This window comes from Homo sapiens, chromosome 14 (genome assembly GCF_000001405.40).
Source record: "Homo sapiens chromosome 14, GRCh38.p14 Primary Assembly".
In the NCBI taxonomy this organism is placed as follows: Eukaryota; Metazoa; Chordata; class Mammalia; order Primates; family Hominidae; genus Homo; species Homo sapiens.
In genome coordinates this window covers 103,488,946-103,504,626 of record NC_000014.9, presented here as the reverse complement: position 1 = coordinate 103,504,626, position 15,681 = coordinate 103,488,946, and the positions used below count along the sequence as shown (strand labels likewise).

At 43.6% G+C, this 15,681-nt stretch overlaps 1 protein-coding gene across 38 annotated transcripts in view; it reads right to left on the bottom strand.

Annotated features, from left to right (window-relative positions):
- MARK3 (microtubule affinity regulating kinase 3) overlaps positions 796 to 15,681 on the bottom strand; it is a 118,417-nt gene continuing 103,531 nt past the window's right edge. For 13 of the 38 annotated variants that reach the window (NM_001128918.3, XM_005267642.6, NM_001437366.1 and 10 more), the window contains 4 exons: positions 12,593 to 12,850; positions 6,099 to 6,125; positions 4,427 to 4,471; positions 796 to 1,745 (listed from right to left, as the gene is read on the bottom strand). In NM_001128918.3, the coding sequence (NP_001122390.2) occupies positions 1,400 to 1,745; positions 4,427 to 4,471; positions 6,099 to 6,125; positions 12,593 to 12,850 (676 nt within the window). In that variant the 3' untranslated portion in view covers positions 796 to 1,399. The remainder of the gene's footprint in view (positions 1,746 to 4,426; positions 4,472 to 6,098; positions 6,126 to 12,592; positions 12,851 to 15,681) is intronic. The other 25 variants (NM_002376.7, NM_001128920.3, XM_047431384.1 and 22 more) reach the window with 4 other exon arrangements.

The window sequence follows — 15,681 nt, the reverse complement described above, 5'->3', positions numbered from 1 at the left end:
CTCCCAAGTAGCTGGAACTACAGGTGCCCGCCACCATGCCCGGCTAATTTTTTTGTATTTTTAGTAGAGACGGGGTTTCACCGTGTTAGCCAAGTTGGTCTTGATCTCCTTACCTTGTGATCCGCCTGCCTCAGCCTCCCAAATTGCTGGGATTACAGGCGTGAGCCACCGCCCCTGGCCCATGTTTTTATTTTTTGAAGACATGGGGTCTTACCATGTTGTCCAAGCTGGTCCTGAACTACCAGACTCAATGTTCCTCCAGCCTCAGCCTCCCAAAAGTGCTGGGTTCACAGGTGTGAGCCACTGTGTCCGGCCTCCAGACTTTCATACTCTGACCAACAACAAACCCAGAACCCAGAATAGCACACCAATCAGTGTGACAACTTCCCTGTGAGAATAAAGCAACACAATGAGTTATGAGCTCATTACCCCTACACAACCATGTAGGTGTTGGACAAAAGCTGCAGGTCTGATTCATGTACTGAATCACAAGAAAGGAGAAAGGAAATTTACATACTTCACAGAGAACCAACCCAGAACTGTCAAGACCTGGTGTTTCTCCATAGGGCTGTGCCACAACTCCCAGGGTTAAGCTGCAGCTGCTCTGGATTCCCTTCCTTCTTGGGTCACCATGAGGGCCATCTTCTCTCTTTATTGCCTTGGGAGAAAAAATATGCTGGTAATCACAAAATGCTGGGACCCCTGCGAAGGTCCACGTGGCCCCAAGCCTTCATACACATTACTTCTGCTCAACTTGAGGATGTGTTAAATACAGCATTAGGAGACAATGCAAGATTTTACTGAGAAAAAGTGAATTTTTAATTATCTTGTGAATCTACTTAGAAAAACACACACAAGCAATGTTCACAACTATAAATTTAAACCTTTTGCACTAAAAAAACACAAAACAACAAACACAAAACCACAGGCATGAACTGTAAACCTGTATTAACTATGAACTGGTCTTAAGGTTAATTCTTAGCAGTCATTCAGTATTTTCCTCCTTGGCAACTGTAATGTTTTAGCACCGGATGATCTCCCGCAGAGGTACTAGTAATGACTGGCTGCCAGTGTAGGGAGATGCTTCCATATACACCACTTCACACACATACCGTCCACTCTCACACCCACCCAGACGGGAGGCACATGGAGATGGGGCCACACACCGACTCTCAGGGTAACGGAAGTAGGGCAGGGGGCGCATAGGTTGCACATCTTTAATGTAGTGCATTCGTAGAAAAAAGGCCAGCTTTCGCTCCCAGGCGTGCTCTCGTCCTCAGACTTTAATTTCATGATTTAGAAGATGCAGACGTTATTGCCTAAATATTATTCTATACATTTCCATCAGTGTTCAGGAAAACACTTTAATTGCTACTTAATTTACATCATAATCACTGGGTTACAGCTTTAGCTCATTGGCAATTTTGGAAGCAATATTTTTGAAGGCTATGGATGTCCCCGATATCCGCTTAAACCGGACCCCGTTCAGAGACAGTCTTGGCAGCTTGCACACTTCCATTTCCCACTGCACGAGGTTCTCCGCGTGCCCATCTCCGTGGACGCAGAAGAGCAAGAAGCGCTCCCTCTGCTCATAGTCGCAGTTATTGGCGTCCAACACTTTGCGGATTTCCCGCATCATGTCCCCGGGATCCATTGAACTAGTGGTTTTCATGCTCCAGGTGAAGCGTAGGGATCGAGGCTTTGCTTCTTTGTTTTCATCTTTTTGCTCAGCAGATACATTGCGACTGAAATGCATAGAGGCAGGTTTATTTTTAATCGTACAGGAAAATCAACCTCTTACACTTCAGCTAGTTCCTCATTCACGTCTTTGATACAACACAACTAACGACTGACCTCCACATTTTCCTGCACAGACTCACATTTGTAACTAAGTCTATTTTCGTCTATTTTCTTCCCTCACCCCCTAAAAGTCATAAGCCACACACAAAAAGATCTACCTAGCTGGAAAATCTTCACCAGCCACCTGTGCTTACTAAAATGAACGAAGTAATTCGTTAAGCAGAATCCTTGGAAATCAGGCAAAAAGGACAGCATGCCCCACTCCTCAGGGCTCTGCAGGCCCAGCTCAGGGAAGGAGTTGCCAGCCAGCTCCTGCCCACCCCACCCATCCACCCTGGGCTGTCCCTCTCCTGCAGTACTGTTCTTTCAGATGTGAATCACTGTAACTGGCACTCAGGGTAACTGGAGACTCAACATCCGCAGTCTAAAATTGCTTTGCTGTACAGCCCTGAGGCTGAACATGATGCTCTACCCACCTCATTGTTTTTCCTCCTCTCTGGTTTGTTAATTAAACGTCCAATTATACAGTTAAAGAAAATCTCAAATGACACAATCTTACTACTGGAATAGATGGAAAAATGCAACGGGACACTTCTCTGTCTGTGGGGGACTGACACCACCCATGTGGATGCCCTGTGGATTCAGAATGTAAGCCTTGGTCTGATGTCCAAGAGGCAGCCTAAGTAGAGCCCAGGCCGGGGTCTCTAGGGAACACCGCGGTTTACCAGCCACTCCTTGGCATTTAGTCATTATTGCCACAAGCCGTTATTTATATTCTCATGTGTGTATCTGGTGGCCTCAATTAAGACAGTGAGTGCCTAGCATTCTTGGGAGTAAAATAGTCTATGTACCTTAAGTACACTCCATCCTATGGCCAACTAACCAGAGGTGAGGGGCTACAGCTTTTGCATATGCACATAGCTCTCCGTGTCACCAACCTGCCAGTATTCAATTTGGTTCACATCCACCAATACTGATGAGAGAAGCTTCCTATGTATAAAATGCCACGTTAGATACTAAATGGGTTACAAAGATAAGCAAAAGCTCTCAAACTCATCTGGAGCCAGGAAGACTGTAAGGTGAGACAACAGTGGCAGCACAGGAAAGGCTGGCCATCTCCTAGAGGGCAGCAGAAGAGGTGGAGCCCGCCGAGCAGGAGAACGTGACAGGCAGGATGAGACAAGGAGGAAACAGCACGGGTGGGGGTGGGCCTGCATCTGAGGAGAGCTATGAAGAGCCATGGGATTTCAACAAAATGCAATGAAGATAGGGAAGAGTGTTTGTTTTGAGTAGAGGGGATCACAGCCAAAGGGGAGGTAGGAAAGTACAGGATGTGTCTGTGGCATAATAAAGTACACAGACTGAGTGGAACTGGAGGCACAGTGTCATCACCCCCACAACAGCTGGTGGCACTTAATGAGCACTTGTGGTGGTCAGGCCCCAACTTACTTGATGCCCACGTAGGTCCTATTATGTCACCTTCCTATTATGGGTGGGGAAACAAACCAGGATCTAGAGCCTGCTCCTGGCTGGGATGGGTAGGCCTGGAGAGGGAATGCTGCCTGGCACTCACCCTAGTGCTCTGCCTTGATGGGGCAGCAGAGCTGGGGCTGCTGGGGCAGCCTGGACCACGCCACTCAGGGCCTCGCAGGGACGTGGCCAGGTGAAATAGTGGAGGTCACTGAAGGTTTTAATTCAGAAAGGTCATATGACCAGAAGCGGGCTTTTAGAAAGACCAAAAGGACAAACGGTGAATGAGGACCTGAAATAGCCTGCTGGTGACTGGCATAAAAAAAGGGCACAAGTGGAAGAGACCTAGAACAAGGGACATAGAGTCCTAAGGCTACCTGGTGATTGCCTCCCCTCAAATCCATGCAATGATAACTATACAAAATGGAAAAGCAAGGCTGGGTGCGGGGGCTCATGTCTGTCATCCCAGCACTTTGGGAGGTTGAGGTGGGAGGTTCACTTGAGCCTAGGAGTTTGAGACCAGCCCGGCCAACATGGCGAGACCCCCATCTCTACAGAAAATACAAAAATTAGCCAGCATGGTGGCAGTGCCTGTGGTTCCAGATACTCAGGAGGCTGAGGTGGGAGGATCGCATAAGCCTGGGAACTCGAGTAAGCCCTGATCACGCCACTACACTCCAGACTGGGTGACAGAGCGACACCGTGTCTCAGAAAAAAAAAAAAGAAAAGCAAAACACTCAACTATATAATCACCATTCTTAGAAGAAAACATATCTAGTTTGAAATATGGACATTCTATTAAGTACTTTGCTTTTATTCCTTGTGAAGAGAACCATGTGAGGGGTCAGTGATGAACTGAGGGCTTATTTCTCTGAGCACTGCTACCCAACCCAGACCTCCAAAGGCTGTTAACGCCCAGGCAGGAAGGCTGAAGGCCTCGCCGTGCTTTGAACACAAACACAAATGTAGAGCGGAGGCCAAGCTGGATCTGGACGGTGCTCATGGCAGGCTGGCGCCCCCTTGTGGCCACCCTCTCTACGTAACTCCTACAGAGACAGCAGGAATACAGTAGGGAACATTCAGAAAATAGTCGCCTCTGCCACAGAAATGAAGTAAACACCTGAAAAAAATTTTAAGTAAAAATCATTTCCCTCACCTTGAGCCCTCATATCTCCCGTTCCTCTCATATTCAGTTGGAAGCCTCAATGAACAGAATGTAGAAGCAGAGAGAAGAGGGAAAGAGAAAAGAAATCTTACATGCCAGTACATGACCACCAATACCAACACCAACACCATAAAATGAACAAAGCCAAAACACGTTTTAAACACCAGCCGGGCTTATGAAAACTCTTCCTCTCATTTGACTGAGCCAGCGCTACCTTCTTCCACAAGGCTGCAGGGGTGTGCACAGGGGCCAGCTCCATGCTGCACACTGCATACATCACACACATTGCATGCCATACCGCTGCACGCTGCACACTGCACACACCGCACACCACGCACGCACAGCGGGCACTCCTGCTGGCTCTTCAGCCTGAGCACACTCGGCCTCAGAATGGGGTTATTCTCACTTTCTAATTGTGCCACACAGTATAATGGGTTTCCAATTAAAAGCCAATGAGGCTATCAGCTGGATTCTATATTCAGTTATTACCTGTTCTGTCCAAGGAAAAATCAGACAAGTGGGAAGATCAATTAAAAAATAATAATAGAATGGAACTGCCAACAGGAAGAAAGTGCTTTTCCCGCAGTTTTGACCTGCAGCTTGGCCTTCTGGTGACTTGAGAGGCACAGGTACAATGTAGCCCTTCAGGAAAGATTTCCTGCCTCATGTGTGCATTAAGAAAGCAATATTTTTGGTTTCTTGATTATCACCATCAAAAAATATGTTTTTCTTTTTTGAGGCAGGGTCTCACTCCCCTAGGCTGGAGCACAGTGGCATGATCATGGCTCACTGCAACCTTGACCTCCCAGGGCTCAGGTGATCCTCCTGCCTCAGCCTCCTGAGTAGCTGGGACCACAGATGCGTGCCACCATGCCCGGCTAATTTTTATATTATTTGTAGAGGCGGGGTTTTGCCATGTTGTCCAGGATGGTCTTGAACTCCTGGGCTCAAGTGATCCGCCCAAAGTGCTGGGATTACAGGCATAAGCCACCATGCCTGGCCTAAAAAATATTAATAAAATCAGAACACCACTTTCTGTAGTGCTTTAAGTAAAAATAATGAGATACTCTTTCTTCAGTGGTTGCTGGAAAGTGGCTTTCAACTCTGAAAATATTAAAACATTTCTGCTACGCAGCTGTTCACATTTTAATTTCTGAAAAAGCCAAATCAAATGAGGCTGTAGCTTTGAATTTTATGCTTGTTTTCTGTATTAGCTAATTTTCCTGTCATTTTAAAGCCTTTTGCTAATTCCATCCTCAGTGAAATAAAAATAACACAACTAATACTTACCTTTTGCATGCCTGTGGATAATCATTAATTGTACATTAACATTACTGAGCATCTCATTCTTCAAACAGGAGCATGCTAAGTGTTATTAGTATGAAGACAGAATTATTTGGATGCTAAATAATTCTACCAAAGAAAGAAAATACACAGAGCATGCATCAGCCTTTTGTTGCATGGGTACCATAGTCCCTTTAAAATGCCTGACAGAGTTAATCTATTTCTTTTCAATTTCCTTTCAAGGAATTAAGTATTTAGTTATCAGCAGAAAGTTTAGTTTATAAGGAAAAAACAGGGCCAGAAAGCCAAACCTAATGTTAATTGCAGGAGCCATTTGGGAGTGAGGATTGAAAAATAAATGTGTATATATAAATCCTACCTTTTGATAAACCTGAATGACATGTTTCTAAAAGAAATTAAGTAAAAAAAAAAAAAAATTAACAAAAATAACTCGCACAAATTAAACAGAAAATCTAATCAATTACAGAGAGAAAGAAAAAAAACAAAGCAGGGTTCCTTCTCTGGCCAATGAACAAAGAAATGCTGACATTTGTTGAAAAAGTAAAATTATTACAGGTAATTAAATGAGTATGTGATCTTTTAATATATCAAAAAAAAGTAAGAAAAGGTTTAGCAGTACATATTGACATTAGCTGTAATTAAAAGTTCTTCAGATGGACACACTTTTTTTTTTTTTTTAAAGACAGAGTCTCACTCTGTCACAGTGCAGTGGTGCAATCTCAGCTCAATGCAACCTATGCCTCCCGGGTTGAAGCAATTCTTGTGCCTCAGTCTCCTGAGTAGCTGGAATCACAGGCGCGCGCCACCATGCCCAGTTAATTTCTATATTTTCAGTAGAGATAGGGTTTTGCCATGTTGGCCAGTCTAGTCTCGAACTCCTGGCCTCAAGTGATCAGCCCACCTCGGCCTCCCAGAGTGTTGGGATTACAGGCATGAGCCACTGCAATGGCCAGATACACTTTCTAAGATAAAATTTATGTCTTATGTTAAAGAAGTGACAAGACATTTGCAATGTACTAGTAATAAAACATTTTTCAATTTTCTTCAGAATACCTTATGAACAAAAATCTTGCCTTATTACATAAACATTAAAAATTTCATTATAAAATATTTAACCACTAAGTAAAAATCATTACTTCTTTCAGGAAAATGAAACAAACATTAACATATTATTTGCTACAGTGGTATGACATAAATCACTTTTTAAGAAAAAAATAGGTGATTGGGGATTTAAACAAGTAGACTTTTCAGTCTTAGATCTCAAAATGAATAAAAACTAAGTGTCAAGACAACAGTATGAATTTTACTTTTATGTAGTAAACACGAAGAATTCTATTTAAAAGGGGTAACTCTGGTCATTAAAAAAATTTAAGGAGATGTGCAGGTTGTGCTGAAAATAATCTGACAAAATATTTTTCAAACTACGAATGAGGTTTTTATGATCAATGCGATCAGCTTCCCTGGGCAAAAATAGGCTGAGTTTGTTAATTTCTATTTGTAAAGTCCAGTTCTGTAACTGTACATAGCAGGCAGTCATCTATATCTGCTGAATGACTAAATTAATGAAATCCTTGGTTGGGATAACTTTGGCATTGCTTTAGGTATTAATCTACCAATTTAAAAAAAGTCTAACTACTATAAATAACTGCCAACCACTTCATAATCAGATCAGTAGTATACAGCAGGGTCATCGACAGTACAATCATGCATGTGAAAATCTTTAATATATACTGCCTAAATATAAGGCAGTATTATCCAAAATATTTTAGTTGAAAATGATTAAAAGTCTTTAAGATATATTTTCGTTTCCTAATTTTCTTTTACTTTTAAATATTTATTTATTTAGAGACAAGGTCTTGCTCAATCACCCAGGCTGGAGTACAGTGGTGTGATCATAGCTCACTGTAACCTCAAACTCCTGGGTTTGAGCAATCCTCCTGCCTCAGCCTCTCAAGTAGCTGGGACTACAGGCATGCACCACCACTCCTGGCTAATTAAAAAATGTTTTTGTAGAGATGGGGGTCTCATTATGTTGCCCAGGTCAGCCTTGAACTCCTGGCTTCAAATGATCCTCCTGCCTCACCTTCCCCCAAAGTGTCAGGATTACTGGCATGAGCCATGTACAGTGCCTGGCCCATTTCCCAACTTTTTTTCTTTTTATTAAAAAAATAAAAGGCTGGGTGTGGTGGCTCATGCCTGTAATCCCAGCACTTTGGGAGGCTGAGGTGGGCGGATCACTTGAGGTCAGGAGTTTGTGACCAGCCTGGCCAACATGGTGAAACCCTGTCTCTACTAAAAATACAAAAATTAGCTGGGCGTGGTGACATGCACCTGTAGTCCCAGCTACTGGGGAGGCTGAGGCAGGATAATCGCTTGAACCCAGGAGGCAGACACTGCAGTGAACCAAGATCGTGCCACTGCACTCCAGCCTGGGTGACAGAGCGAGACTCCGTCTCAAAAAAAAAAAAAGTAGAGATGGGGTCTCATTATGTTGTCCAGGCTGGTCTTGAACTCCTGGGCTCAAGTGATCCATGTGGCTCAGCCTCCCAAAGTGCTGGGATTATAGGCATGAGCCATGGTGCCTGGACATTTCCTAATCTTCCACCGGAAAAATCAGGGTTACTGGTCAATTACTATAGAAGTGCTTTTCTTAACTTTTCCTCCTATAATCCCTTGAGGTATAAAGAGGAAGGAGGCAGCTGCAGGAGGAGGCCTTCACACTGCCCATGGCAACATGGATCAACCTGAGGGCAGAGGCACTTGCGTGTGCCTGGCTGTTCTGCCTGCAGGGTATGGGTGACTCTGCAGTCTCTGAGCAAGGCCAGGCCTGATCCTAAGGAGAGAGAGTTTTGCTCCCGACTACAAATAGCCCATAGCTCTCCAAAGCCATGTGCTCTCCAAGCAGAGTGCAGGCTTCCTGACTGCAGCCCTCTCCAGACCTGGCCACACCAGGTCTCCCTTGCAGCATCTAAGTGCAAACACCTCAGCCTTTCAGGCAATGCAATTTTAATCCTACCAATTATTGCTAAAGGAGGATAAGAACTTTCAACCACTCTAGCAAGGATTTTGATTGTTTTTAAGAACAAACTGTCAGTAGCTGATTAAGTATAGCACTAAGGGAGACAACAGACCTCAGTTAATAAACTTTAACAAGACAGGATAAAAGACTATCTTTCTGCAAAAATCTGGGGGTGTGGAAATAGCCTGGAAATTGTAAACAAGATGACCACTTAGAATTTTTTTAAACAACAAGCCTGAGTCTCCAATTTTAATTCAAATATATGAAATAAATGTAATGCAACTGTCACGCCTGCAACTGTTTTTTCTAAAGGGAGCACAGTGTAGTGGCTAAAAGGGCAGAGTCTGGTCAGATAGACCTGGCTCAGCCTGATACTTTTTTTTTTTTTTGAGATGGAGTGTCAATCTGTCGCCAGGCTGGAGTGCAATGGTGTGATCTTGGCTCTCTGCAACCTACGCCTCCTGGGTTCAAGCCATCCTCTTGCCTCACCCTTCCAAATAGCTGGAATTACAAGCATGTGCCACAACATCAAGCTAATTTTTGTATTTTTAGTAGAGATGGGGTTTCACCATGTTGGCCAGGCTGGTCTTGAACTCCTGACCTTGAGTGATCTACCTGATCTACCTGCCTTGGCCTCCCAAAGTGCTGGGATTACAGGCGTAAGCCACTGCACCAGGCCCTGATACTTTTTAAAATATGTGCCTTAATCTCTCCAAACTTCACCTTCAGTTTCTTTTACAAAATGGGGTGGACTATGGAGATTAAATTAAATGAGTGTGTGTGCACACTTGTACATGTGTATAAATATACTCATTTCACACATATAAGTGTATATATATGATACTCATTTTATACATAAAATATGCATATATATAATGTACATACATATTTATATGTATAAAATGAATATGACTGTATCTATGTATATAGACATCTACCTTAGCACATAATAAGCATTCAAATAATGGTAGCTTTGGCTGGGCGCGGTGGATCACTTGAGGTCAGCAGTTCAAGACCAGCCTGGCCAACATGATAAAACCGGGTCTCTACTAAAAATACAAAAATTAGCCAGGCGCGATGGTGGGCGCCTGTAGTCCCAGCCACTCGGGAGGCTGAAGCACAGGAATCACTTGAACCTGGAAGGCGAAGATTGCCATGGGCTGAGATCATGCCACTGCACTCCAGCCTGGGCGATAAAGTGAGACTCTGTGGGGAAAAAAAAAGAGGTAGCTGATATTTTTATCAATGATAATCTTGTTTCCTTTTTTCCATTATATACATGTAATAAAATCAATGCTAGTCTTTTTTTTTTTTTTTTTTTTTGAGACAGAGTTTCACTGTTGTTGCCCAGGCTGGAGTGCAATGGCGTGACCTCGGCTCACCACAACCTCTGCCTCCCAGGTTCAAGTGATTCTCCTGCCTCAGTCTCCCTGGGATTACAGGCATGTGCCACCATGCCCGGCTAATTTTGTATTTTTAGTAGAGACTGGGTTTCTCCATGTTGGCTAGGATGGTCTCAAATTCCCGACCTCAGGTGATCCACCTGCCTCGGCCTCCCAAAGTGCTGGGATTACAGGCGTGAGCCACCATGCCTGGCCAATCAATGCTAGTCTTTTTTTTTTTTTTTTTTTGAGATGGAGTCTCGCTCTGTCATCACCCAGGCTGGAGTGCAGCGGCGCGATCTTGGCTAGATGCAACCTCCGCCTCCCAGGTTCAAGCGATTCTCCTGGCTCAGCCTCCAGAGTAGCTGGGACTACAGGCGAGCGCCACCACCCCTGGCTAATTTTTGTATTTTTAGTAGAGATGGGGTTTTGCCATGTTGGCCAGGCCTGTCTCAAACTCCTGACCCCAGGTGATCCGCCCCTCTTGGCCTCCCAAAGTGCTGAGATTACAGGCATGAGCCATCCGGCCCAGCCCAATACTAGTCTTAAAATGACTGAAAAAAGAGTACAAAGAAGAAAAATAAACTCAAAGTTTTTTTTTTTTTTTTTTTGAGACACAGTCTCACTTTGTCACCCAGACTAGAGTGCAGTGGTACGATCTCGGCTCACTGCAACCTCTGCCTTCCGGGTTCAAGCAATTCTCCTGTCTCAGCCTCCTGGGTAGCTGGGACTCCAGGCGCCCACCACCATGCCTGGCTAATTTTTGTATTTTTAGTAGAGATGGGGTTTCACCATATTGGTCAGGCTGGTCTCAAACTCCTGACTTCAGGAGATCCACCCGCCTTGGCCTCCCAAAGTGCTGGGATTACAAGCATGAACCACCACGGCTGGCCAGGAAGGAATGGTTTATTCTGGGAGTCACCAGACTCTTCTCAGATTGAACTCACTGTCTCTCTTGCTGGCTGGTCATGAATGGGTGTCCCAAACCTGGCAAAGCTCTTTGGCTGATTCTGTTTTGCCCAGTTTAAAATGAGGTGGCTTAATAAAGGGGCTAAGAAGTGAGTAAGAGGGTAAATAGAAACCTTCTGATGCGTCTGACTTCTAGTTAATGCTAATGGATGTCAGAGATCCTCCCTAATCTAGGCGGAGGTTGAAGTTAGCCAAGATTGCACCACTGCACTCCAGCCTTGGCGACAGTGAGACTCCGTCTCAAAAAAAAAAAAAAAATTAAAAAAAAAAAAAAAAGGAATACTCCCTAATCTATTCCATGTCCTAATAATAAGTAGATCAGACTTTAATGTGACTCACCGAAGTTTCAGATGATCGAATACAAGATTACATTTAGCTTAGTTTAAATAATGGAGATGGAGTGAAATGAAGTAATAGGCTATAGGCCATAGGGAATGCAGAAAAACAGAGGAGGGTACTGATCATTTCAGACTCGGGAAAGACTCCTACTGCTGTCCTGTAAGCTACAGATGACAAATAAGAGGGTCCGTCCTAGGCAAACCTGCAAGATACCACAGACAGACTCATCCACAGCTAGGCTTAATTTCAAAACATTTCTCCAAGGATGTCCTGAAACTGCAGGGGCTCTTGGGTTTCCTGGGCTCCTTCTCGGAAAGGTGCCTTTCACTATTGTTTACGGTTCAAAGTGGTATCCTTTCTTTTTCCTCTTGAAGCAGCCAGTATTTCTGGGCTTTTGTAACAGGTAACAAGGTTACGGAAATGAAGTTAATCTCAAAGGACCCTTGAGAGTTTACTGAGGCCCCAGATGCTAGCCTACTAGACACATGGAACATTTTAAAAAATTTCCAGGACCATCAGCCAAGAATCATGCAGCATTTAATAAAAATAACTTAATAATAGTAACATTATTTTTTGATAATAAACCAGAGATTTTATCTCCAAAACTATACCATTTAAGGACATTACCTTGCTCTCAATATAAATTACTAAGACTGAGAGAGAAACTTTCAAGATTTGGACTCTTAAGAAATTTACTGCTCCTTAACAACAATAAAGTGAGAAAAGAGAAGCTGTCTCTTTCCTCTGGGGCTGGAGATGATTATGAAAGACATGCATGGTCTTTCCTGCTGATTGTTACAGAGTGCCAGCCCCCCACCCCACACCAGAACTCGAGGTCTGCCTGCTCAACAACAACGAACATGCCATGCAGACAGATACGTGAGCAAAAGGAACAATAATTAAAGAACAGTAACAAAAACCTCCTAAATGCTAGTTAACTTTTAGTGTTATGAAGACTCTGAGCTCTACAATTTCTACTTTAAAGGTTTTAAAGTATAAAGTTAGATATATATAAAACCAGAAAACCATGAGCTGAAGGCAGACTGAAAAGCATCCAGGTAGCAGTGGCTTCACACAACAAAAAAGACATCTTTCCTTTTGCTCTATGTGTTCACTCCAAAACAACCAGCACCTAGCACTTACCTCCTTGTGAGTTTTGAAGTTAATTTACTAAAGAGATTAGTGGAGCCTCGGCTTCGAGTCTGGGACAATGGTGTGGCTTCATGGGACAGGCTGGGAGAGGCAGGAGGGCCATTATATGTTGCGGTTCGCCGTTCCCGGGGCTGGCCGTGGAAAGTGCTACGACTGGCAGTGCCTCTTGGGAAGCGGATTCGATCTGGGGTGGCTGCACTACTGATACTGTGTGTTGAAGCAACTGGAGTTCTCTGATCAGGAATAGTGCTATGAGATCAGAAAGTAAGAAGCTCTCAGAACATGATATACAAAAATTTACAGTCACAATATACCTTTTATACACAGTGGAGAAAATCGGGTATAAAAAATCCAGATCCAAGGGGTATTTTATAGGACTTAGGAGCAAAAGGTAAGTTAAGTGGGAAAGGGTACCAAAAGAACAATACATAATGAGACAAAGCCTCATGGAGTTTAAGGGACCAGTATTATATATATTTTCAAGGACAAGATTAATGCAGGGAAATTCTAGGACAGAGAACAGCTAACTCAAACTTTTCCCCTTTGCTTCCCTCTCAAATTGCTTACATAGAGAACTGTGCCAATACGAAAGAAATAAAGGATATGCTGGCGTAACTGAAGAACAGGCAACTAAAAAGTTTTGGAAGTAAACAAATGATATATGTATAAAATTCCACATGCTGAAAGCAACTTGGGAGGAGCAGGAACTTCTTATACATTTTGTAGTACGCGAAGGCACGAAGACACACAATACACAACCGAGGACATCATGACAAAAGATGTGCTTAACTAAAATCACATGGAGGAAGGACGCCTTGTGGACAACTGTAACAAAATCTCAGACTATAAAATCCACAGCACAAAATTAAGAAGCAGTGGGTACACATTAGTTTCACAAAGAATGTGCATTTTTCTTACATAGCCTTGAAGTTATCTCCTTCACTGTCTATTGGAGGTAACATCATCTTGGGGTGCCCAGAGGCTGACATGGACATCGACTTCTGATGTCTCAGCCGACAGGTAGATGTACAAACTGAGGCAGGGCTAGCTGCGTAAGCGAACATTTCTGTCAGGCTGGGAGGGGTTTGGGTTCAGGCAGAGGCAGAAACACAGTATGAAGGAGCAGTGACCACAGAGCAACCTGTGTGTAATGCACACACCTTCCTCCCAAGCCATCTCATTTCTGGTAAAGAATAAAAATCTCCTAAGCTTGTTTTGGAGATTCTGGAGCAACTGCTAACCTATAGTTGCTTTTTTTTTTTTCCAAACAGTAATCATAAAAATCTATTACCTTAAAATAAAATAGCAGATTACATGTTTGAATATCTGTTTCTATGAGAGGGACAATGTCCTCTGAGGGTATGCACAAAATAAAACCTATTCTAAGAGATGCCTCAATTCAAATCTAAGTGGTAAAATGAATATATAATATGAGCATGCTATGCTCTCAACCTGTTCCCAAAACACACTGACATATTTTATTTTTTCTTTATTTATTTTTTTTGTAGAGACAGGGTCTCGCTATATTATCCAGGCTGGTCTTAAATTTGTGGCTTCAAGTGATCCTCCCGCCTTGGCCTTCCAAAGTGTTGGGATTATAAGTGTGAGCCACCACACCCGGCCCGCACTGATGTATTTTAAATGAATTAATAAGATTACAGGTATAGGAACTAGCTGTTATATAACAGTATCCTATGTTGTTTGGTGTTTTTTTGAGACAGGGTTTTGCTGTCACCTAGCTGCAGTGCAGTGGTACGATCATGGCTCAATGCAGCCTCAACTTCCTGGGCTCAGGTGGTTCTCCCACCTCAGCCTCCTAAGTGGCTGGGAATACAGGCGCACTCCACCATGCCTGGCTAATTTTGTATTTTTAGTAGAGAGAGTTTTGTCATGTTGCCCAGGCTGGTCTTGAACTCCTGGGCTCAAACGATACGCCTGCCTTGGCCTCCCAAAGTGTTGGGATTACAGGCATGAGCCACCATGCCCAGCCTTCCAATGTTGTTTTAACAATATAGTCTAGAACCTTCCTAATCAAAGGACATTTACTCCAAGATAAAAAACAGTCAGCAGAGCCCCCTTCTCCAAGATGGGCAAATTCATCAGAGCAAATTAACTGTTAACAGACATGGTAAGATAGAGTGGCTGGAAGTCTGCAGTTTCATCTAACACACACAGTTACCGGACAAAACTACCCCCAGGAGTCTCACTGGGACACATTATTTGGAATTCCAGCTCAGTAATCATGTCCTTGGAATTCAAGGGCAGTTTCTTTCCTTTAAGGATAAGTAGGAATACAGCTCTTCCAGTGTCTTTCTGCAGAAATCCTTTGGAAGGATTAAAACCTGGAAACTGGCAAGTTCTTCCTTTCCCTCACTCCCCATACACAGACTAACGACATCTTATTGGTGTCAACTTCCTAGTAGCTCTTCAGGTGGCCCATCTGCTCCACTTCTACCAGGGCCTCAGTATAGAGCCTCGCTCCTTGTCTTCACTGGGTCCCCTGCCTTTGCCCCAACACCTCCAATCTATTCACCTTACAGCTGAGAACTTCTTAACATATAAACCAGATCTTGTCACTCATCTGCTCATACTTCTACAGAACACCAAGTCTTTGGTAAAAAGTTCAGTCTCCTCGACTTGGAGTGCAAGTACACATCCCCAGGCCCCTGAAGTCTGGCCCCTGCCATCTCTCTAGGCTTTGCCTTCTATCATTCCCTCCTGGAACTCAACTTTCTAGCCTTCCTGATGATGTGTGGTCCATTGGTCAGGCACCAGGTCAGAAAATGTTTGCAGGAGTTATTCTCTTGGTATGGAGGGCTGGGATCTTTCTATTCACTCTTCAAAAATGAACCAGATGTCGTCATCTCTATGAAGTGTTATCTGATCCATTTTCCCTCTGAGAGTTAAATCACTTCTGTTTTTAGCTCATGCATGCCACATTGTATCCTAGTGACCCTTCTCTGCTGGAGGTCCCTGAAAACACAGCCCAAAATCTTGTCAATGTGCCCCCCACCAGTGTAAGCAGAAAGCCTGGCAGGGCAGGTATTCAACAAACGTTCTCCTAACAGAGCAGATTAATC